The sequence below is a fragment of the Homo sapiens genome, chromosome 7 (assembly GCF_000001405.40).
Source record: "Homo sapiens chromosome 7, GRCh38.p14 Primary Assembly".
NCBI lineage: Eukaryota > Metazoa > Chordata > Mammalia > Primates > Hominidae > Homo > Homo sapiens.
In genome coordinates this window covers 71,804,483-71,826,944 of record NC_000007.14, presented here as the reverse complement: position 1 = coordinate 71,826,944, position 22,462 = coordinate 71,804,483, and the positions used below count along the sequence as shown (strand labels likewise).

At 44.4% G+C, this 22,462-nt stretch overlaps 1 protein-coding gene across 14 annotated transcripts in view; it reads left to right on the top strand.

Moving 5' to 3' along the window:
• Positions 1–22,462, top strand: part of CALN1 (calneuron 1) — a 724,789-nt gene that overhangs the window by 677,335 nt on the left and 24,992 nt on the right. For all 14 annotated transcript variants that reach the window (XM_017012677.2, NM_001363460.1, XM_017012683.2 and 11 more), the window contains one exon: positions 16,453–16,609. In XM_017012677.2, coding sequence (XP_016868166.1) covers positions 16,453–16,609 — 157 coding nt within the window. The remainder of the gene's footprint in view (positions 1–16,452; positions 16,610–22,462) is intronic.

The following is a 22,462-nucleotide window of genomic DNA, read 5'->3' as shown; positions in this document are numbered from 1 at the left end:
TGCTTTATAAGAAATAGACATCTCCAGGCACCATAGCAACCTAGTTGGAGACCAGCCTGGGCAACATAGCAAGACCACCCATCTCTATAAAAAATACAAAAATTATGTGGACATGGTGGCATGCACCTGTAGTCCCAGCTACTCAGGAGGCTGAGACTGGGGATTGCTGGAGCCTGGGAGGCAGAGGTTGCAATGATGAGACCCCACATTGGGCGAGACCTGTAGGAAATGAGATCAGAGGTGGGAACAACAGATTCACACCTCACTTCATCTGATGCCGGGCAGGCAAGCAGCAAGGCCACGTCAAGGTCCCCTGTCCCCTCCAACATGGTCTGTGGTTGATTGCCTTTGAAGAGGAGTGGAGGGAGGAATGCTGGTACAAGAGGCTAGGGTTGGGGTCAGAGCTGCTTCAGGAGCAGAGACTGGGGACACCCTAGCCCTAGGTATTCAAGGGCAGGTCAAAGCACCTTCCTGGCTTCACTCAGAATGATCTTGTGCTCTTTTTCAGAGAGCAAAGCTTTTCAAAGTCAACCACGATGTCTGAGTCACATGTCTGCTCCATAGATCTTGCTGTTAGTGGAAAATTTCTTCTAGACTGTGGGAGTCAATAGGTGCTCAATCTTCGTTTGGGTGTTACTGGGCATTTTCATCTTTTTCTAAGCCACCAGTGCATTCTGGGGGTCGACTGCAGAGGCTTAGTCACATGCCCTGGCCCCATCCCCTTGCTCCCTTGAGCTGATTCCTTGTGGGCCAAAGAAGGCAGGGAGTCACTTTTCTCTCTGTCCTCCTGTCTCTCCATACCAATGAGGCAAGATGTGCAGGAGTCCAAATGGATTTATCCATAGTCTGGCACCTACTGTTTTGGGTTTTTTGTTGTTTTCTGCCTTTTTTTTTTTTTTTTTTTTTTTTTTTGAGACAGAGTCTCGCTCTGTCCCCCAGGCTGGAGTGCAGTGGTACAGTCTTGGCTCACTGCAACCTCCACCACCCAGGTTCAAGCAATTCTCCTGCCTCAGCCTCCCAAGTAGCTGGGATCACAGGCGCCTGCCACCACGCCCGGCTAATTTTTGTATTTTTAGTAGAAACAGGGTTTCACCGTGTTGGTCAGGCTGGTCTTGAACTCCTGACCTCGAGTGAACAGCCTGCCTCGGCCTCTCAGAGTGATGGGATTACAGACATGAGCCACCATGCCCAGCCCTGCTTTCTGCTTTGAACGTTGCATTTTCTCAATACCTTTACCAGTCTTCCATTTCTTTGCCCAAACTACTCATCTTCCCAAGCAGTCTTGTCCAAGGTACGTCTGTCTCTCTGTTCTTGGCAGGGAGGAGTCTGTCTCAGGATACCTTTCATTTCGGTCCCGCTGTTTAATTCCTCATATAGGGAAAAATCTCAGAGGCCTCCCCAGCCATGTGGAAGTGTGAGTCCATTAAACCTCTTCTTTATAAATTACCTAGTCTCAGGTATGTCTTCATTAGAAGAACATGAAAACGGACTAATACGATGATAAAAGCCACACTCTGTGCATTCAGGCAAAAAAGAATGAGAGACAAGCAAAAGGGGGAAACCCTTATAAAACTTACCAGATCTCATGAGACTTATTCACTACCACGAGAACAGTATGGGGGAAACTGCCCCCATGATTCAGTTATCTCCTACTGGGTCCCTCCTACAACACACAGGAATTATGGGAACTACAATTCAAGATGAGATTTGGGTGGGGACACAGCCAAACCATACCAGTCAGACTCTAGACGTCTCTCTGGTTACATTGGTGTCTCCTGCCCTTCACATCTGGACCCCCGTGGGAGGTTGATGGTTGGACCCACCCTTTAGGAAGGGGGTCTGCTTATTTGATAGAAGAGGCTGCATTGTTTGCGCTGTGGGGACCAAGGAGGAAGGAGAAGGCCCTGGAAGGAAGTTATGCAGATCTACTGACCTCGCTTGGCCTGGTCACGCTGGCGCTCAAGGCAGACTTAAAACATGACTGTATTTTTATACTGTGTACCAAGATAAATGGGTGAGATCACTCAACTGTGTAGGTAGGACTCCAGCTGTTCAAGACCCCATCAGGAGACCCCAGATAACAGGAGTTACTATTGTGGTGCACTGCAACCAATTCTGCTCCCTGGTTAAGAAGTTCTGACCCATTGATCGTCCAGGCAGCTCTCTCTCGGCAGGAAAATGCCTTTTGCAGATGGGCAGAGAAAGGAATAGAGGTGTGAAATATTTTGGAGTTTATTCCGCCTGTCTTTTTCTCCAGAGGAGAAAGAACTGTGTCATCAAATTCATTCCAGACATTCAGTGAAAGTTGACATGAGATTGGACTCGCTCACAAATCTGGGCAGGAAAGATGTTGGCCCCCAGCTGTGCAGGTCCCAGTATGAGTCAGGGACGAAAAATGGAGCAAAGGCCTCACAAGGCAGCCGGCAGCCAGCAGCGAGCTCTGGGCTTTTGGCAGCCTGGCATTTCATCTTATCGGGAATTCAGACTTCACTGGGGACTCAGGCACCCCTGAGGTTCCTTTCACAGCAGGAAAACAAGTTCAGTTAGTCTGCTTTTTCCATGCAACACGGTAGAGAAGCTGAACATGGGAAGTCCACCTGTAGAGAGTGCTCCTCCTGGCCTTCTCCTGGATTTTGGGGGGACAATGATTGAGGAAGGGGAAACAGGCAGGAAAGACTGGGCTGTGGAGCAAATAGAAGATTCAGGTTTAGTCATTCAGAAAACATGTATTCTGCATACATTATCCAACCTCTTGGCTCTTTCCCCACACTAAACAACAGAGAGGCCTGGCACCTGGGCAGGAGGATTGCTTGAGTCCAGGAGTTCGAGATCAGCCTGGGTAACATAGTGAGACACCCATGATATGGTGTGGCTGTGTCCCCACCCAAATCTCATCTTGAATTGTAGCTCCCACAATTCCCACGTGTCATGGGAGGGAGCTGATGGGAGGTAATTGGATCATGAAGGCGGATCTTTCCCATACTGTTCTCATGCTAGTGAGTAAGTCTCACGCGATCTGATGGATTTATAAAGATGAGTCCCTTTGCACAAGTTCTCTCTCTTACCTGCCACCATATAAGAAGTCCCTTTGTTCTTCCTTCGTCTTCTGCCACGATTGTGAGGCCTCCCTAGCCATGTGGAACTGTGAGTCCATTAAGCCTCTTTTTCCTTTTCTTTTCTTTCTCTTTTTCTTTTCTTTTTATTAATTTTTTTTATTTTTCTTTTTTGAGATGGAGTCTCGCTCTGTTGCCCAGGCTGGAGTGCAGTGGTGCAATCTCGGCTCACTGCAACTTCCACCTCCCAGGTTCAAGCAATTCTTCTGCCTCAGTCTCCCAAGTAGGTGGGACTACAGGCGCCTGCCACCATGCCCGGCTAATTTTTATATTTTTAGTAGAGACGGGGTTTCACCATATTGGCCAGGCTGGTCTCGAACTCCTGACCTTGTGATCCGCCTGCCTTGGCCACCCAAAGTGCTGGGATTACAGGCGTGAGCCACCGCTCCCGGCCCAAGCCTCTGTTTCTTTATAAATTACCCAGGGTCGGGTATGTCTTTATTTGCAGCGTGAGAACAGACTCACACATCCCGTCTCTACAAAAAATATAAAAATTTATCCAGGCCTGTTAACATGCACCTGTAATCCCAGCTACACAGGAGGATCACTTTAGCCCAGGAGGTCAAGGCTACAGTGAGCTCTGATCTTACTACTGCACTCCAGCCTGGGCCACAGAGTGAGACCCTGTCTCTTAAAAAAAAAAAAGAGAGAGAGACGGAGAGAGAGAGAAGAAACTGGAGAAGCTTCAACAACTTTGAGGGGGAGATTTGTATGATTCTAGAATTTTATGTCAGAATAAATTGTCTGTCATGAGAGAAGGGGAGAAAGGTATTATCAGAATTCTAAGAATGCAGAAAATGTAATATTCACAAGTGTTTCATTGTCAAATAGTTTTAAATGTTCTCTAGCAGATATTTGGATGACAATCAGGCACTTAGTTTAGGGACAGTTATTAAAAAATGGAAGTAAGCATTGGAATCACTTAAATATAATGAAGTAGCAGGAGCTGTTGTAAATTTTGTTACAAAATTAAATGCAGACTCCAAATACTATTCTAGAAAAAGATGCAAATAGTAGAAAATGTGTCATCATAAATCTCAAATTAAACTTACAAAGACTGAAAAGCATGAGGCAAAAGGTAGGAAAATAAAAGGTCTATTAATCTTATTACATACAAGAAAAAATGACAGGATGCCATTTAGTTTCTTGAATTTGATAATTTAAGAAATGGTGGCTTAAGTCATGCATTACACAAATGGAAAAACATCCAGCAGCATAACCAAAACTAAAATGTCCACAGGTTTCTTATGTAAAAGAGAAAACAAACCATAAGAACCAGAAGCGGGCCAGGCACGGTGACTCACGCCTGCAATCCCAGCACTTTGGGAGGCCAAGACGGGCAGATGACCTGAGGTCGGGAGTTCGAGACCAGCCTGACCAACATGGAGAAATCCCGTCTCTACTAAAAATACAAAATTAGCCGGGCATGATGGCACACGCCTGTAATCCCAGCTACTCGGGAGGCTGAGGCTGGAGAATCACTTGAACCCGGGAGGCGGAGGTTGCAGTGAGCCAAGATCACACCATTGCACTCCAGCCTGGGCAACAAGAGCGAAACGCCATCTCAGAAGAACCAGAAGCAGGAAATAAAATAACAACAGTACAGCCAAATATGTTTATAACAATATATAAAAATGGAATTAGACTCTACCATTGGAAAGCAAAGAATCTCAAATTAGATTTCTTTAGAATCCAATTCTAGCCTCCTTGTAAGAGACATATCTCTAAAATATAACATTAAAAAGTTTAAAAACCAAAAGAAAGGCCAGGTGTGGTAGCTCACACCTGTGGTCACAGAACTTTGGGAGGCTGAGGCGGACAGATTACTTGAGCTCAGGAGTTCAAGACCAGCCTGGGCCAACATGGCCAGACTGCATCTCTACAAAAAATGCAAAAATTAGCCGTAGTCCCAGCTACTCAGGAGGCTGAGGTGGGAGAATTGCTTGAGCCCAGGAGGTCAAGGCTGCAGTAAGCCATGATCACACCACTGTACTCCAGCGTGGGTGACACAGCGAGACCCTGACTCAAAAAAAAAAAAAAAAAGAAAGAAACATTTAGCAGAATTCACACCAAAGGAATTAAGCATAGCTGTACTGATACAAAAATAGATTTTTTTCCAAAAGACATTAACAAAGCACTGAAATATTTTTTAAAGACCGTGTATAATGATTGGTATGGTTTAGCTGTGTCCCCACACAAATCTCATCTTGAATTGTGGCTCCCATAGTTCCCACATGTTGTAGGAGGGACCTAGTGGGAGATAATAGAATCCTGGAGGCAGTTTTCCCCCATACCGTTCTGGTGGTAGTGAGTAAGTCTCATGAGATCTAATGGTTTTATAAGGGGTTTCCCTCTTTTGCTTGGTTCTCATTCTTTTTTGCCCGCTGCCATGTAAGACATGACTTTCACCTTCCACCATGATTGTGAGCCCTCCCCAGCCATGTGGAACGGTGAGTCCTTTAAACTTCTTCTTCTTCATAAATTACCCAGTCTCGGGTATGTCTTCATTAGAAGAATATGAAAACGGATTAATATGAAGATAAAAGTCACACTCTGTGCATTCAGTAACGAGGGCCACCCACTTGTTCATCTTGATGTCCTCTGAATGCATCCCTCGGGGCTTTCATAGCCCACACTCTCTTCTTGGGTGGTGTCATCCTTTCTGATGACTTTATCATCATCTGTATGCAAATGAATGCTAAATCTGTGTCATTAACCTGTATCTATACATTCTACTGCATCCTAGGCTATTCTACTGGGCTGTCCCTCAGGAACCTTCAAAGAATGCATCCAAAATTTAACGTGTAGCCTTTCTTTCTAAGCCCATACATTCAGCTGAACGTAAAACCCAGGTGTCTCCCTGGATGGCCCATTCGCCTTCACACACCACACACAGTGATCCATCAAGTCTTATCAACCTCTCGTTTACACAGCTCATAAATTCTCCCTATCTCCATAGCCTACTTCAGTCTCAGAATCTGTAACTTCAATAGCCTCCTCTCTGGTTGTTGGGACCTTTGTATCAGCAAAGGGTAGTTTTTCTCAAGCTCAAACCTGATCAAGTAATTTCTCTGATGAAAATGTTTTAGTGGATAAAAATACAACTCAAAGATACTCAACAGATAAAACCAAGCTCTGTTCCTGAAAAATTTAAACATAGAATTACCGTATGATTCAGCAATTCTGCTTCTAGGTATATACCCCAAAGAGTTAAAAGCAGTGACTGGAACAGATATTTGTACACCTACATCCATAGCAGACACTTGGGCTGCTTCTACTTTATGTCTATTGTGAATGTGGTATGTCCATACAACGGAATGGCTAATGAAAAGACTCAGGCTCTAAACAATACGTGAAGATATTTATTCTGAGCCAAATACAAATGACCAATGGCCTATGACACAGCCCTCAGGAGGTCCTGAGAACATGTGCCCAAGGTGGTCAGCCTACACCTGAGTTTTGTACATTCTAGGGAGATGTAAAATGTCAATACACATAAGATGACATTGGTTCAGTCTAAAAAGGCTGGACAACTGGAGGTTGGTGGGTGGGGAGCTTCCAGGTCATAGGTGGATTGGTCATTGGTGGGTTCTGATTGGCAGTTGGTTGAGGTATTATCTAAAGACTTGGAATCAATCAAAAGGAATGTCTGGCTTATGATAAGGATTGTAGAGACCAAGGTTTTATTATGCAGATGAAGCCTCCAGGTTGCAGGCTGCAGAGAGAATAGATTGTAAGTGTTCCTTGTCCTATCAGTCTTACTCTGTTTTAATGTTAGTTAATTGAAACATTAATTAACTTTAATATTTGGGCCTGAATTCCAAAAGGGAGGAGGGTATAATGAGTCATGTTCAATTCTTCCTTCCCATCATAGCCTGAAGTCATTTTTCAGGTTAACTTTGGAATGCCCTTGGCTGAGAAGTGGGGTCCATTCCGATGGTTGTGGAGCTTAGAATTCTATTTTGGGTTTACAGAAAATGGTCCAGCCTTAAAAAGGAAGGGAATTCTGACACATGACACAACATGGATGAACCTTGAGGGCATTATCTAAGTGAAATAAACCAGTCACAAAAAGACAAATATCATATGATTCCACTTAACATAAGGTACCTAAAAAAGTCAAAGACACAGAGAAACAAAAAATAGAGTGGTGGTTGTTGGGTTTGCAGTGAGGGAGGAATGGGGAGATAGTGTTTAATGATAATTAATAATAGTGTACAAAGTTTCAGTCTGGGAAGATGAAGGACTTCTGGAGAGAAGTAATTGTGGTGTTTGTATGACACTGTGAAAGTACTTAATGCCACAGAACTGTACACTTGAATAAAATAGGCCAGGCACGGTGGCTCATGCCTGCAATCCCAACACTTTGGGAGGCCAAGGCGGGCAGATCACTTGAGGTCGGGAGTTCGAGACCAGCCTGGCCAACATGGTGAAACCAACATGGTGAATACAAGAATTAGCCGGGTGTGGTGGCAGATGCCTGTAATCTCAGCTACTCAGGAGGCTGAGGCAGGAGAATTGCTTGAAACCGGAAGGTGGAGGTTGCAGTGAGCCAAGATCGCACCACTGCACTCCAGCCTGGGGAGCAAGAGTGAAACCCTGTCTCAAAAAAAAAAAAAAAGAATAAAATAGTAAATTTTTAGTTATTATATTTTACCACAATAAAAATAAATAAATAAAAACAAGTGGTGGTGCATGTCTGTAGTCCCAGCTACTCAGGAGGCTGAAGTGGTAGGACTGCTTGAGCCTGGGAGTTTGCGACCAGCCTGGGCGACATAGCAAGACCCTGTCTTTACAAAACTATTTTTTAAAAATAAGCTGGTCGGGTGGGTGCTGTGGCTCACGCCTGTAATCCCAGCACTTTGGGAGGCTGAGGCGGGCAGATCACGAGGTCAGGAGTTCGAGACCAGCCTGGCCAATATGGTGAAACCCCATCTCTACTGAAAATACAAAAATTAGCCAGACATGGTGGTGCACACCTGTAATACCAGCTACTCGGGAGGCTGAGGCAGGAGAATCGCTTGAACCCAGGAGGTGGAGGTTGCAGTGAGCTGAGACCGCACCACTGCACTCCAGCCTGGGTGACAGAGTGAGACTCCAGCTCAAAAAAATAAATAAATAAATAAATAAATAAATAAATAAATAAATAAATAAATAAAATAAGCTGGTCATGGTGGCAAGTGCCTGTAATCTCAGCATTTTGGGAAGTTGAGGCAGTAGGATCACTTGAGCACAGGAATTCAAGTCCAGCCTGGGCAACATAGTGAGACCCCATCTCTACAAAATGAATAAGAATTAAAAAATAAAAACAAACAAAATACAATTAAGCTTTTCACCGTGTCATACAAGGCCTTTACTGACTAGTGCCCCACCCATATCCCTCACCTCATTCCTTCCCACCTTCTCCTGGCTACTCGAAGCCTCAGAAGAACTCAACATATTGTCAGTTAATGAACATGTCAAGCTTTTGCAACTCTGTGCCTTGGTACGGCTGCCCCCTACCCTACCTGACCGTCTCCTCTTCCCTCCTTATCCTTTTCCCACCCTCCCCTCACTCACCTGGCAAAGTCAGCCTCTTTTTCCTTTAGGTCTTTGATAGTAGGCATGTTCTCCAGAAAGCCCCCTCTGACCCACCCTTCACCCCCAACCAGGTGGTGCCAAGACATCCTGGCTTCCCTCCCACAGCATGTACCACATTGAATTCAAATGACTCATTTGCTTGGTTTCAAGAACAGGATTTATGTATTGTTCGCTTTTGTATTCCCATCACAGTATCTGGCAGAGTCATTCCCAATAACCATTTGTTGGATTAGTATATAAATCTTTTTGCACTACAGAATAGCCTCATTTAACAAATATTTGAACTATAAGAATAATTTATGGAGAACAAGTTTTCTTCACAGACTTCAATATGCTACTCATGGTCCTTGACTCCAGTAGTCCAAAAAAAAAAAAGTAAGTTTATAGAAAAAGATTATAATTATAAGGTTACGTAATGTAATTAATAAATATAAATATGGCCGGGTGCAGTGGCTCACACCTGTAATCCCAGCTCTTTGGGAGGCCAAGGCAGGTGGATTACAAGGTCAGGAGATCGAGACCATCCTGGCCAACATGGTGAAACCCCATCTCTACTAAAAATGCAAAAATTAGCTGGGCATGGTGGTGGGCGCCTGTAATCCCAGCTACTCGGGAGGCTGAGGCAGAAGAACCACTTGAACCTGGGAGGCAGAGATTGTAGTGAGCTGAGATCACACCACTGCACTCCAGCCTGGGCGACAGAGCGAGACTCCGTCTCAAAAAAATAAATAAATGAATAAACAAATAAATGTAAATATATTTGTATAACTGACCTTACAGAGATTCTACTATAGTGGAAAATTCCTTAGGTTTCCAAAAATTGCAGATGTATGGGCCACATTCTCTTCCCTATGATCCATTAACAACAGAAAAAGGTGACGAAAATCAACTAGAAGAGAGAAACCAATAAAAGTACAAAGGAGAACTGGGATGTAATAATGATTGGGAGGAATTTAAAATTGCAGGACTAGGGTCCATAGTTGCATACTAATGATAATGAAAATGTTCTCTCTGGTTTTCCAAAAAACTACAACATTCCAAAATTGACTGAAGAAAAACTGAAAAGTAAAATGGACTGACAATCACAGAAGAAAGGCTTGTTGGCATGGGGTACACATTGTTTTACAGTGATTTTTTTCAAACTTTTGAAAGACAGATATTGACAATATAGGTGATATATGGAATGCTACGCAACTTATTTTGTTTAGATGTCCTAATACTAAATATATACCCTAATACTAAAACATGACCCAGATCTCCAAAACTATAGATTTTTGTTTTTTGGAGACAGAGTCTCGCTCTGTTGCCCAGGCTGGAGTGCAGTGGTGCAATCTCGGCTCACTGCAACCTCCACCTCCCAGGTTCAAGTGATTCTCCTGCCTCAGCCTCCTGAGTAGCTGGGATTACAGGAATGCGTCACCACGCCGGGCTAATTTTTGTATTTTTAGTAGAGACAGGGTTTCACCATGTTGGTCAGGCTAGTCTCGAACTCCTGACCTCGTGATCGAACTCCTGACCTCGTGATCTGCCCACCTCAGCCTCCCAAAGTGCTGGGATTACAGGCATAAGCCACCACACCTGGCCCAAAACTATAGATTTTGGAGTCTGTATCTTTCCTTCTCTTCTCGTTGCTCCTGACCAATCTTTTGGCCTGATTTCTGAATGACAGCAACCTCTCAACAGGTTAGAGGTTTTCCAGGCACCACACTCTTCAAGTGTTAGGAAATGGTTACTCATTTTCTGAGTCTTGTTGACCTTGATCTTGCCACTCTTCATCTCTGATCATGGCAGGGGGTCTTGGTGTTCTCATCTGTAAATCATCCTCTTCATGCATTCTGCCAGGTTTTTCCCCAAAGCCAAATGAACAATACCTTGCTCCCTTACCCAATATAAAGAGACAGGGTCCCATGAGTTTTCTCTGAGTGTATGTCAAAATTCCTGTCTAGGATCGTTAAACTCTAATGCAGAAAACAAGTTTGTTTTACACCTCCCCTTCAGTTGCTCTGAAGTGTATAAATGGCTTTGAACTTGAATCATTTAGATTTTACAGCAAGATTCAATATCCCAATTTAATTTTTTAGAACAGAGGTGCACAGTTAAAGCAAGGTACAAATTGTTTAACAAGCAAGCAAGGCAGGAGGATGGCTTGAGGCCAGGAGTTTGAGACCAGCTTGGGCAACATAGCAAGACTCTCTCTGTAAAGAAAAAAAAAATTAAAAAAAAAATTAGCCAGGTCTGGTGTCATGCACCTGTAGTTCCACCTAGAAGATTGCTTGAGCCCAGGAGTTTGAGGCTGCGGTAAGCTATGATCGCACTACTGCACTCTAGCCTGGGTGACAAAGCAAGAAACAAGAAAGTAAAAGAGAGAGGAAGGAGGGAAGGAAGGGAGGAAGGAAAGAAGGAAGGAAGGAGGGAGGGAGGGAGGGAGGAAGAAAAGAAGGGAGGGCGGGAGGGTGGGAAGGGAGGAAAGGGGGAGGGGGAGAGGGAAGGAAAGAAGGAGGAAGGGAATGGAAGGAAGGAAGGAAGAAAGGAAGGATGGAAGGGAGGCAGGGAGAGAGAGAGGGAAAAAAGAGTCTAAAACTTCCTTCCTCATAGTGCAGAGTAACTGAAAACACTGAGTTTTGTGTTCACCCTTGACTAAGTTACACTGCAGAAACCACAGAGTCTTAGCAGTTAGCAGCAAGCATTTATTTCTCACTCAGATCCCGCGTCCTTTGTGGGATGGTTGAGGATCTACTCAGGTTGAATTCCTAGGTCATTCCAGAACCTAGAATGAAGCAGCAGCCCCTCTTTTGTGTAAATGTTATGTGAAAGAAGAGAAAGGGAAATGGCAGAAAACACAATGGCTTTGAAGCTTCTCCTTGGACTTTCATACTTCTATCACTTTGGCTCTCAGTTGATTGGCCAAAGCTTGTGACATCAACAGGCAAGGAGATATCATCCTCTCCTACAAGGGGAAACAAATATAGTAGACCCTTAGGCAAAGCAAAGATGAGGGGCACTGACCCACGTGCAGTCAAAAATCCAAGTATAATTTTTGAATCCCCAAAAACTTAACTGCTAATAGCCTACTGTTGACTGGAAGCCTTACCAATAATATAAAAAGTTGATTAACTCAAGGCTGGTTGTGTTGACTCACGCCTGTAATCCCAGCACTTTGGGAGGCCGAGCCGGGCAGATCACAGGGTCAGGAGATCCAGACCATCCTGGCTAACACGGTGAAACTCCGTCTCTACTAAAAATACAAAAAATCAGCTGGGCGTGGTGGCGGGCACCTGTAGTCCCAGCCACTCAGGAGGCTGAGGCAGGAGAATGGCGTGAACCCAGGAGGCGGAGATTACAGTGAGCCAAGATTGCGTCACTGCACTCCAGGGTGGGGGACAGAGCGAGACTTTGTCTCAAAAAAAAAAAAAAAAAGTTGATTAACTCATATGTTGTATGTTATATGTATTGTACACTGCATTCTTACAATAAAGTAATCTAGGGAGAAGAAAATGCTATTATGAAAATCATAAAGAGGAGGAAGTAAGTTCATTAACTGGAAATGGATCATCATAAAGGTCTTCATCCTCATGGTGTTCACCTTGAGTAGGTGGAGGAGGAGGAAGAGGAGGTGTTGGTCTTGCTGTCTCAGGAATGGCAGAGGGAGAAGGAAATCCACATATAAGTGGACCCACACAGTTCAAACCCATGTTTTTCAAGGCTCAATTATAGCTGGAAATAATAGACCCTGTTACAGTCCACACTCTTGCTCATCAATATTCATTTCCCTCTCTTCAGCTGCAAAATATACTCCTCCCCTCCCCAGGGGAGACTTCCCAACAGTCCCATCCAGTTATAACACCAGACTCAAGCTCTAGAATCTCATGATGCTCATCAAATCTGGATGTGGCTCTTCTTGGTATGGAAACATAAAAACTAAAAAGTCAAATTACCCCTCACCCTTGCCCGACACAAACACACACTTGACATATGGTGGTGGACCAGGGTCAGGCCAACCACCAAAAACATTCCCCTCTGGAAAGCAAAACATGGGATACCCATAGCGGTCAGAGGCTCAGAGCAGTTCTGAAACCCTGTTGGACAAAAACCTTGGGGTGAGGAATTTTCCCTCAATTAGCTGCTTCTGCTTCCTAGAAGTGACCCTGGATGACATTGTTCTCCAAGATTCCCAGGAAAGCTGTCCTTTTCCACTATTCTTGTACTTACTCTATGAGGGCATTGTGTAATACACCCTTCCTGGGACCCGTGTAGCTTATCCTCTTAATTGCTTGGGCCCGTAGGTTGGGAAGTCCAAAGATCTTTTTTTTTTTTTTTTTTTGCAACAGAGTCTCGCTCTGTCACCCAGGCTGGAGTGCAGTGACACAATGTCGGCTCACTGCAAGCTCCGCCTCCCGTGTTCACACCATTCTCCTGCCTCAGCCTCCTGAGTAGCTGGGACTACAGGCGCCCGCCACCATGCCCGGCTAATTTTTTTGTATTTTTTAGTAGAGACGGGGTTTCACCATGTTAGCCAGGATGGTCTCAATCTCCTGACCTTGTGATCCGCCAGCCTCGGCCTCCCAAAGTGCTAGGATGACAGGCGTGAGCCACCGCGCCCGGCCCCAAAGATCTTTTAAAGTTTGGAACAGTTATAGTGTCTTTTAATCCAAGATTGTTGGCTCTTGGCCAGTATAGCTCTCAAGGACTTAGTTATGTTTTTATCTGGCTCCAATCAGTTATGCTAGTAAACACATCCACAATTATTTTTGAGACATACCTCTCTCTAAACTTAATAACAGGCTTCCTAGGAGAGTCACTTAACACATTCAGAGATTTTTTTAAAGAGGCATTGATTTGTTTCAATAGGGCTGTATTATTACTTAAAGCATTTCTTTATTTTATCTCTTACTAGTTGGAGATGAGAAACAATTGCTCTTGGTGCAGTGCCTGTAATCTCAGCACTTTGGGAGGCTGAAGCCAGAGTATTGCTTGAGGCCAGGAGTTCGAAACCAGCCTGGCCAACATGGTGAAACCCTGTCTCCACTAAAAATACAAAAATTAGCCAGGTGTGGTGCACATGCCTATAATCCCAGCTTCTTGGGAGTCTGAGGCAGGCAACATAGCCAGACCCTGTCTCTACTAAAAATACAAAAATTAGCTAGGTGTGGTGGTGTGTGCCTGTAATCCCAGCTTCTTGGGAGGGTGAGACAGAAGGATCACTTGAACTCGGGAGGTGGAGGTTGCAGTGAGCCAAGATTGCGCCACTGTACTCCAGCCTGGGTGACAGAGCAAGACTCCATCTCAAATAATAATAATAATAATAATAATAATAATAATAATGATGATGATGATAAATAAAATAGCTGGACATGGTGGTGCATGTCTGTCATCCTAACTACTTAGGAGGATGAGGCAGGAGGATCACTTGAGCCCAGATGTTTGAAGTTGCAGTGAGCTGTGATCACACCACAGCATATCAGCCTGGACCACCGAGCAAGACCTTGTCTCTAAAAAAATAGAACTAGAAATAGAAATGGGGGCTTTGAGAAATGTGTGGATAGGAAGATAACAAGATCATTACGAGAAAAAAAAGAAACAATTGCTTCTTTCAATGCTGCAACGCCAGGAATTTCTGAGTGGTTTTTATTTTTGGCTTGCAAATCAACCAGTTCTTTCCTGAGCTCATCTCTTTCTTGTAGTGCTCTGTTAGATGCAGCTAATTTCAATTGTGAATCACGGCATTCTGTTTCACAGACTTTTTACCTAAAACCACTGGACTCGGATTCAATATCTGCCTGTCCTCCAAGGTATCACAGGCAACAGTTTTACCAAATGTTTTGCTATCGTATTACAGGGATCTGTGTCTTTCCAGCCTCCAGTCACAGTTTTCTCATTTTTCACTGCCTGGCTCCGGAACCAGTACATTGTCTTTTAGAATTTTGGTTATGGTAGCCTCTTAGTTTTATGTACCAATTTCTCTATTTTTGACATAGACCAACAATGGTCTAAGTTATGCTGCCGTAGCAAACAAGCCCCAAATCTCAATGGTTCATAACAACACAGGGTATTCCTGACGTGAGCTGTCCATTGTGATTCAGCTGTAGGTGTTCCCCACTTTATCCTCATTCTGAGACCCAGCCCGAAGGAACAGCCTCTATCTGGGGCATGTAATTCTCATAGCAGAGGGAAAGAACAAATGTTAGAACCACACAATGATTCATAAAGCTGTGAATTAGATGTGGTAGATGTGACTTCTACTCACATTTTATTGGCCAAGAAAGTGACACTACTGGCCAGGCGCAGTGGCTCACACCTGTAATCCCAGCACTTTGGGAGGCCGAGGCGGGTGGATCACCTGAGGTCAGGAGTTCGAGACCAGCTTGACCAACATGGCGAAACCCCGTCTCTACTAAAAATACAAAAATTAGCTGGGCGTGGTGGTGCACACCTGTAATCCCAGCTACTCGGGAGGCTGAGGAAGGAGAATTGCTTGAACCCGGGAGGTGGAGTTTGCAGTCAGCCGAGATCGCGCCACTGCACTCCAGCCTGCGAGATGGAAGCAAGACTCCATTTCGGAAAAAAAAAAAAAAAAAGAAAAAAGAAAGCGACACTATCAAACCTAATATAAATGGAGTGGAAAAGTACAGTCCTCTCTCGGGGAGGGGCAGGATGTAATCAGGAACTCTGCACCTCTCCTTCAGCAGCTTTTCTTCATGAACATGACTTTGAACTTGTGTTTTTATCTTGTTAGAACAAGATTCATGGCCAGGCACAGTGGCTTACACCTGTAATCCCAGCACTTTCAGGAGGCCAAGGCAGGAGTACTTGAGGCCAGGAGTTTGAGACCAGCCTGGGAAACATAGCAAGACCTTGTCCCTACAAAAAATTGTAAATGTTAGACAGGCGCAGTGGCTCATGTCTGTAATCCCAGCTACTTGGGAGGCTGAGGCAGGAGGATGGCTTCAGCCCAGGAGTTCAAGGCTGCAGGGAGCTATGATCACACCACTGGACTCCAGCCTGGATGATAGGGCAAGACCCTGTCTCTAAATTTTTTTTTAAACGATACATAATTAGGCCGGGCGTGGTGGCTCAGGCCTGTAATCCTAGCACTTTGGGAGGCCGAGGCGGGCGGATCACTTGAGGTCAGGAGTTCAAAACCAGCATGGCCAACACGGTGAAACCCCGTCTCTACTAAGCATACAAAAAAATTAGCCGGGCGTGGTGGCGGGCACCTGTAATTCCAGCTACTACGGAGGCTGAGGCAGGAGAATCGCTTGAACTCGGGAGGCGAGGTTGCAGTGAGCCGAGATCTCGCCGCTGCACTCCAGCCTGGGCGAAAGAGCAAGATTCTATCTCAAAAAAAAAAAAAAAAAGATACATGCTTAAACCAATATGGGAATTGCCAGAGTGTTGGTAAATTATAAAAATTTTAGAGACGTATGCATTATATAAAGGGTTTCACCATTCTAAAGTACACAAAGTATGCAGGGTTGACAGCAGATGGCTGGATGAATAGGAAACCAGACTGGCGGGTGGCATTTTTTTTCTCCAAGAAGCTAAAGCGAAGGGAATATGTTCCACTCTCTATCATTCCAATAAGTCCCTGCAAGTTCATGAGTATACTTGGAGCTGAACAGGATGGAAAACTGTTCACCTGATATCCTGAAACGCTGAGACAAGTTTCTGCAGAGCAGCTGTGGGTCTGGCCTGTCATGGCCCGAGCCAACTTCCCATCTCCACATGCTTCTGACCATCTCACTACTCTTTATCTCCACAGTTTGACATGCAAAGGATAACTCTGGAAGAGTTGAAGCACATTCTCTATCATGCCTTCCGAGACCACCTAACGATGAAGGACATTGAGAACATCATTATCAATGAGGAAGAGAGCCTGAATGAGACCTCGGGGAACTGCCAAACAGAGTTTGAAGGAGGTAGGTGCCCCTGCTGCCATCCCCTCCCCGGTCCGGGACAGGCCAATGCACCACACTCTCTATATGAAAAATGCGTTCACACACAGGCTCTTGGGCTGATGTTCCCTTGTACTGAAGCCAAAAATCCAGGACTGAGGTTAAAGATCTTTTTTGCTAAGATGCGGTGGGTTTCATTTTCTCCATCTTTCTCCTCCAAATTCTGCATTTTTTGCAGAATCTCCACTGACCCTGTCTTTTCTCTCAAGGCTCTCTGAGGTCTGCGTGTGATTGGATGTGTGGTTTTGTGCTGTTTGCCTTCTCTTGGTTGTGGCTGCATGGGGCGGTGCAAAGAGCCTATTTTGGCTGTCCGGCAAACTTGGGTCGAGTCCGTTGTGTGACCTTGGGCAAAGGATGGACCTTCTCTGTGTTTCCTCATCTATAAACATCAGGATGATTACACCTACTTCGCAGAATTCTTAGGAATGGATGACCTCTATGTTCCCAAATGCACTGGCCAAAAAAAAGAAAAAAAAAAGGGACAGAGTCCTCTGATGAACTTAACCAAGTAGTTACAGAAGAAATAAGGTTCTCTGGAGGCCAAAAAAGAGACCCATGAAAGGTTATTTTTTTTTATTCATGAAAGCAAATTTAAAGAAAAAAGAGAGCCTACTGAATCTCCTAATCAGTAGAGAATTCCTGAGAAGCTAAAGGATTTAATCCTTCTTTCCAACTTTGAAAATCAGAGTGGTTTTAATAGCCCTGTTGTATAGAAAAAAAATTTTTAATTACATTAAAACATCATATAGCAGGCTATCAGCAACTTTTCTGTTCAATGCTGACATTTCTTAAGGAGGTCAAATTTTTTTTCTTTTCTTTTCTTTTTTTTTTTTTTGAACATTTAAATAAGTCAGTATACATAGTTGGGAAGCTGTCACATAGACACTAGAAGGATATATTTGGTTGCCTGGTCTTGTAGCTGTCTCCCTTAGAGCCAGTGAGTGCTATGGGGGGAGGCTAGTGTGCTTGGAGCTGAGCTGGTCCCAGGCACCAGAACTGTCCATGCAAACCCAGGCTCCCATCAGCCCTGTCTTGGCTGAACTGCTGCATCATGGACCCAGCATTAAAGGCCACGACAGGAGGGAACAGGAGATGGCCTGTACTCTGAGGTTGCAAACAGTGGGAGAGAGGGAGTAGTGGAGTCTGTTGCAAAACAGAAAGCAATGATCTCTTCTGAAGTCACTCAAATTTAAACACTGCAAAACTGCCATGCGCATCAAACAAAACCCAGCTGTGGTCCTGAAGTTGCCTTGGTCTCCTTGCTGTGACAATGGGGTGATAGCATCAATGACTGTATTTGGAGTGGGAGTCACACTGATCTTATAAGGGCAGGATGGGGTGGTCACAGCCAAGGCCATTTCCAGCAGGACATGCGAGGGTGAGGAGGGGTGAGGAGCGAAGGGATTGAGAACTGAAACTTGAGAAAACAGCAGACCTGGCCTTCCCAATCCATCTCGCTCGGGGCTGACAGATGATGTGAGCCCCACACAATGAAAGCACATGGGGCTCAAGCGCTCTACTGCTAGTCAGCACTCTTGAGATGGGTGGAGAAGGGTATTTTTGGGTATCATCTCATTTTCCACAACAGCCTTTGTTGGTGGATCAGTGTTTTGTTCAGGGAAATGTCATAGATCTTAGTAATTTGGGAAAGGTCAGGCTATACTGGGAAATAATCTAAATTCGAAGTAAGGCCTTTTTATTTCTCAAAACCTTATACATTAATAAAATAAATGCCTGACAAAGGGGCTACCAAACAGAAGCCTTGCTGGGTTTGCTTTAATGATTTGTCAATAGCTTATTTATAATTAATGTAATATGATTAATATATAATGATCGTTAATAGCAATTATATTTATTAATAACCATACTGCAAGTATTATGTTTATTAAAAATTATTAATCCTTATTGTTATAAAATAATTATTAATGTTTATTAATAATTATTACCATAATGGTTAATTAATAATTTTAAGTCAGTGCAGTGCCTGGACTAATAATTGTTACCATTATTAATTGCCATTAATAACTATTAGCCCAGGCACTGCACTAAGTGGCTTAACATTAATTAACCATTATGGTAATAATTATCACCATAACATTTAATAAATATCATAATTAATAATTATGGTAATAATTATGGTATTATCTAACCATGGTTAGGTACCTAACCATTACCTAACCAATAACTATAGTAGTATTTTTGTTTTGTTTTGTTTTGTTTGTTTTTGAGACAAAGTCTCACTGTGTCACCCAGGCTGGAGTGCAGTGGCGCAATCTCTGCTCACTGCAACCTCTGCTTCCCGGGTTCAAGCAATCTTCCTGCCTCAGCCTCCCGAATAGCTGGGACTACAGGTGCCCACCCCCATGCCCGGCTAATTTTCATATTTTTAGTAGAGACGGGGTTTCACTGTGTTAGTGAGGATGGTCTCAATCTCCTGACCTCGTAATCCGCCCACCTCGGCCTCCCAAAATGCTGGGATTACAGGCGTGAGCCATCACACTCGGCCTAATTTTTGTATTTTTAGTAGAGATGGGGTTTTACCATGTTAGCCAGGCTGGTCTTGAACTCCTGACCTCAAGTGATTCCCCCTCCTCAGCATCCCAAAGTGCTGGGATTACAGGTGTGAGCCTGTTAGTCCAGGCACTGCACTAAGTGGTTTAAAATTCATTATCTTATTTCATTTAAAAAAGCTGTTATTTTGTAATTTGCACGTTGCATTCTTGTATGACCTCTGGGACGGTCATTACATAATCCCTTTTGCATATTTTTATCTCAGAGAAACTTTGCAAAAACATTATGTCAGGGTTGTTTGTCCCCCAGACACAAGCTCGTTGATTTGTGTTTAGGTTTAAGAATTTTTCAAGCATGATCAAAGTGATGGGTGAATATATTTAATGCTCACAGGCCTTTCCACATGCAAGAAAGAGCCTCCCTGGTTGCATTTTGGGCAGAGGTGTCTAGGAAGAGAATACTGAGTTCCTGAGTCTACCTGCTTAGCATCCTAGGACTAGAGGAGTTTGTCTGAGATCCTGTGGCTCACCTTAGACCCTTTGCTTCCATATTGCTCCCATATCCACAAACGGGGGCCCGTTGGCATTTTGAACCTTTCCCTTCTTCTATCAAGACCTGATTGCACAGCTGCATTGCTTCCACCTCCTAAATCTCCCTCTCCTCCTCCCAGCCTTGAGCGCTTTGGGGCCTCCCCATCTCTCCCAAACTGTCAACTCCTCCCTATCCTCTTTTGCCCTTGGCCTAAGCTGCGTGCCTTGTCCAGCCACGTCAACCATGCCCTTGCTGACGTCCTGTTACAGGACCACCAGGTTCTTATGCCCACTGTTCAGTAATAGACCAATACACTGAGACAGCAGGGTTTGCAGCAGAGAAACAGTTTAATGACAGTAGGGTAGCTGAGCAAGGAGACAGGAGGAACCCTCAAATCCATTCCCTGAGGAGTGTTGAGCTAGGGTTTTTAAGGGGATTGTGGAGGGCAAGAGACTGAAAAATTGAGGTTGTTGATTTGATGAAACCATCAGGATGTGGAAACTGCATTCTTTGGTAAGTCAGCTCCCTGGGGGGGGGTCCTTCAGACCAGCTGACATCAGTAGTCTCATTGATATGCAGAACCTAAAGAATATCTCAAAGGGAAAACTTAATGTTTTATACTGTTCAAATTGTTATCAATAGGGCAATTAAGGGGAACTATAATGGCTCACGCCTGTAATCCCATCCCTTTGGGAGGGCAAGGCGGGTGGATAAACTGAGGTCAGGAGTTCGAGACCAGCCTGACCAATATGATGAAACCCCGTCTCTACTAAAAATACAAAAATTAGTCAGGTGTGGTGGCATGTGCGTGGAATCCCAGCTACTCGGGAGGCTGAGACAGGAGAATTGCTTGAGCCCAGGAGGTGGAGGTTGCAGTGAACCAAGATCGCGCCATTGCACTCCAGCCTGGGCAACAAGAGTTAAAACTCCATCTCAAAAAAAAAAAAAAAAGGAGGGGGAAACTATAATCATGTGTGTGTGTGTGTTTGTGTGTGTGTGTGTGTGTGCATGCGTGCACATGTGCACACCTGGCTTCTTCATTAATTTTACTTTTTAAGTTTTGGGGTACATGTGCAGGACGTGCAGGTTTGTTACATTTAAATGTGTGCCATGGTGGTTTGCAGCACCTATCAACCCATTACCTACGCATTAAGCCAGCATGCATTAGCTATTTTTCCTGATGCTCTCCTCTCCATCCCCCACCCCGCAACATGTGTTCTCATTGTTCAGCTCCCGCTTATGAGTGAGAACATGCAGTGTTTGGTTTTCTGCTCCTGTGTTAGTTTGCTGAGGATGATGGCTTCGAGCTCCATCTATGTCCCTGCAAGGACATAATCTCATTCCTTTTTATGGCTGCATAGTATGCCATTGTGTATATGTACACACTTTCTTTATCCAGTCTATCAGAAAATGGTGTGGCAATTCCTCAAAGATCTAGGACCAGCAATACCATTTGACCTAGAAATCACATTGCTAGGTATATTCCCAAAGGAATATAAATCATTATATTATAAAGAACTATAATCTTATAATAGGGTCTATGTGATTCTGGGGCAATAGGCAGCAAACGCCTATGAGGAAGCAAGTTGGAAAACGAGCTGACCTCACGATCAACACTGAGTGTGTGTCAAATTTGGTTTATTTTTGTTTCTCTCCTGCCCTTCTTCCTTGATTAATTTTCTAAGGTGTATCGGGGCAGAACAGTTCAATCTCAGATCCCTGACTCACTGTCTGCTCCCTCCATCCCAAGTCTTGATGAATCTAGCACCTAACTGTGAAGGGCCAAGATGGTTTCCTTTATTTCTTCCAAGTGATGAAATTCTTTTCTCATTAAACTGAATCCTCCTCGCAACCCCACATGACCAATGAGAGGGAAAGGAACGGGCTGGGCCTCTTCCCTCAGCCCCAGAGCCCCCACTCAGGTCTTCTCTACTCTTGCTAACCCACCCCTCATCCCTAGGAATTTCTTTCCTGCTGCTCTCATTAGAGCAAACAGGTAATCACACCAATTAGGAAGGTCTTTGCCATCAGAAGGTGGAAGAGCCCATCTGCCTCTTCACCAGAAACTAAGAGATGGGCAAAGAAACAGACATTTTGTGGCAGAGATGGAACTTAAAGAATCCCACATCAGAGGGCTGGGAGCTCAGGAGAGCTGGAGGTGGGACTGAGATCTGGAGCATGGAAAAGATTTCAAAATGCTGCTGTGGGCAGCACAAGGGACAAGGACTCTATTAGAAATTAATGGGAGGACTTGAAAATGCCATCAGCATCCTTTTATTTTTTATTTTATTTATATTTTTTTTATATGGAGTTTTGCTCTTGTTGCCCAGTGCAATGGCATGGTCTTGGCTCACTGCAACCTCTGCCACCTGGGTTAAAGCAATTCTCCTGCCTCGGCCTTCTGAGTAGCTGGGATTACAAGCATGCGCCACCACGTCCTGATAATTTTTGTATTTTTAGTAGAGACAGGGTTTTGCCATGTTGGCCAGGCTGGTCTCGAACTCCTGACCTCAAGTGATCTGCCCATCTGCCCACCTCAGCCTCCCAAAGTGCTGGGATTACAGGCATGTGCCACCGCACCCGGCTCATTTTTGTATTTTTAGTAGAGACGGGGTTTTGCCATGTTGTCCAGGCTGATCTCGAACTCCTGACATCAAGTGATCCTCCCACCCTGGCCTCCCAAAGTGCTGGAAATACAGGCATGAGCCACGGCACCCAGTGAGTTTATTTATTTATTTATTTTAATAAAATAAAGAGAGTCCTGCTGTGTCACCC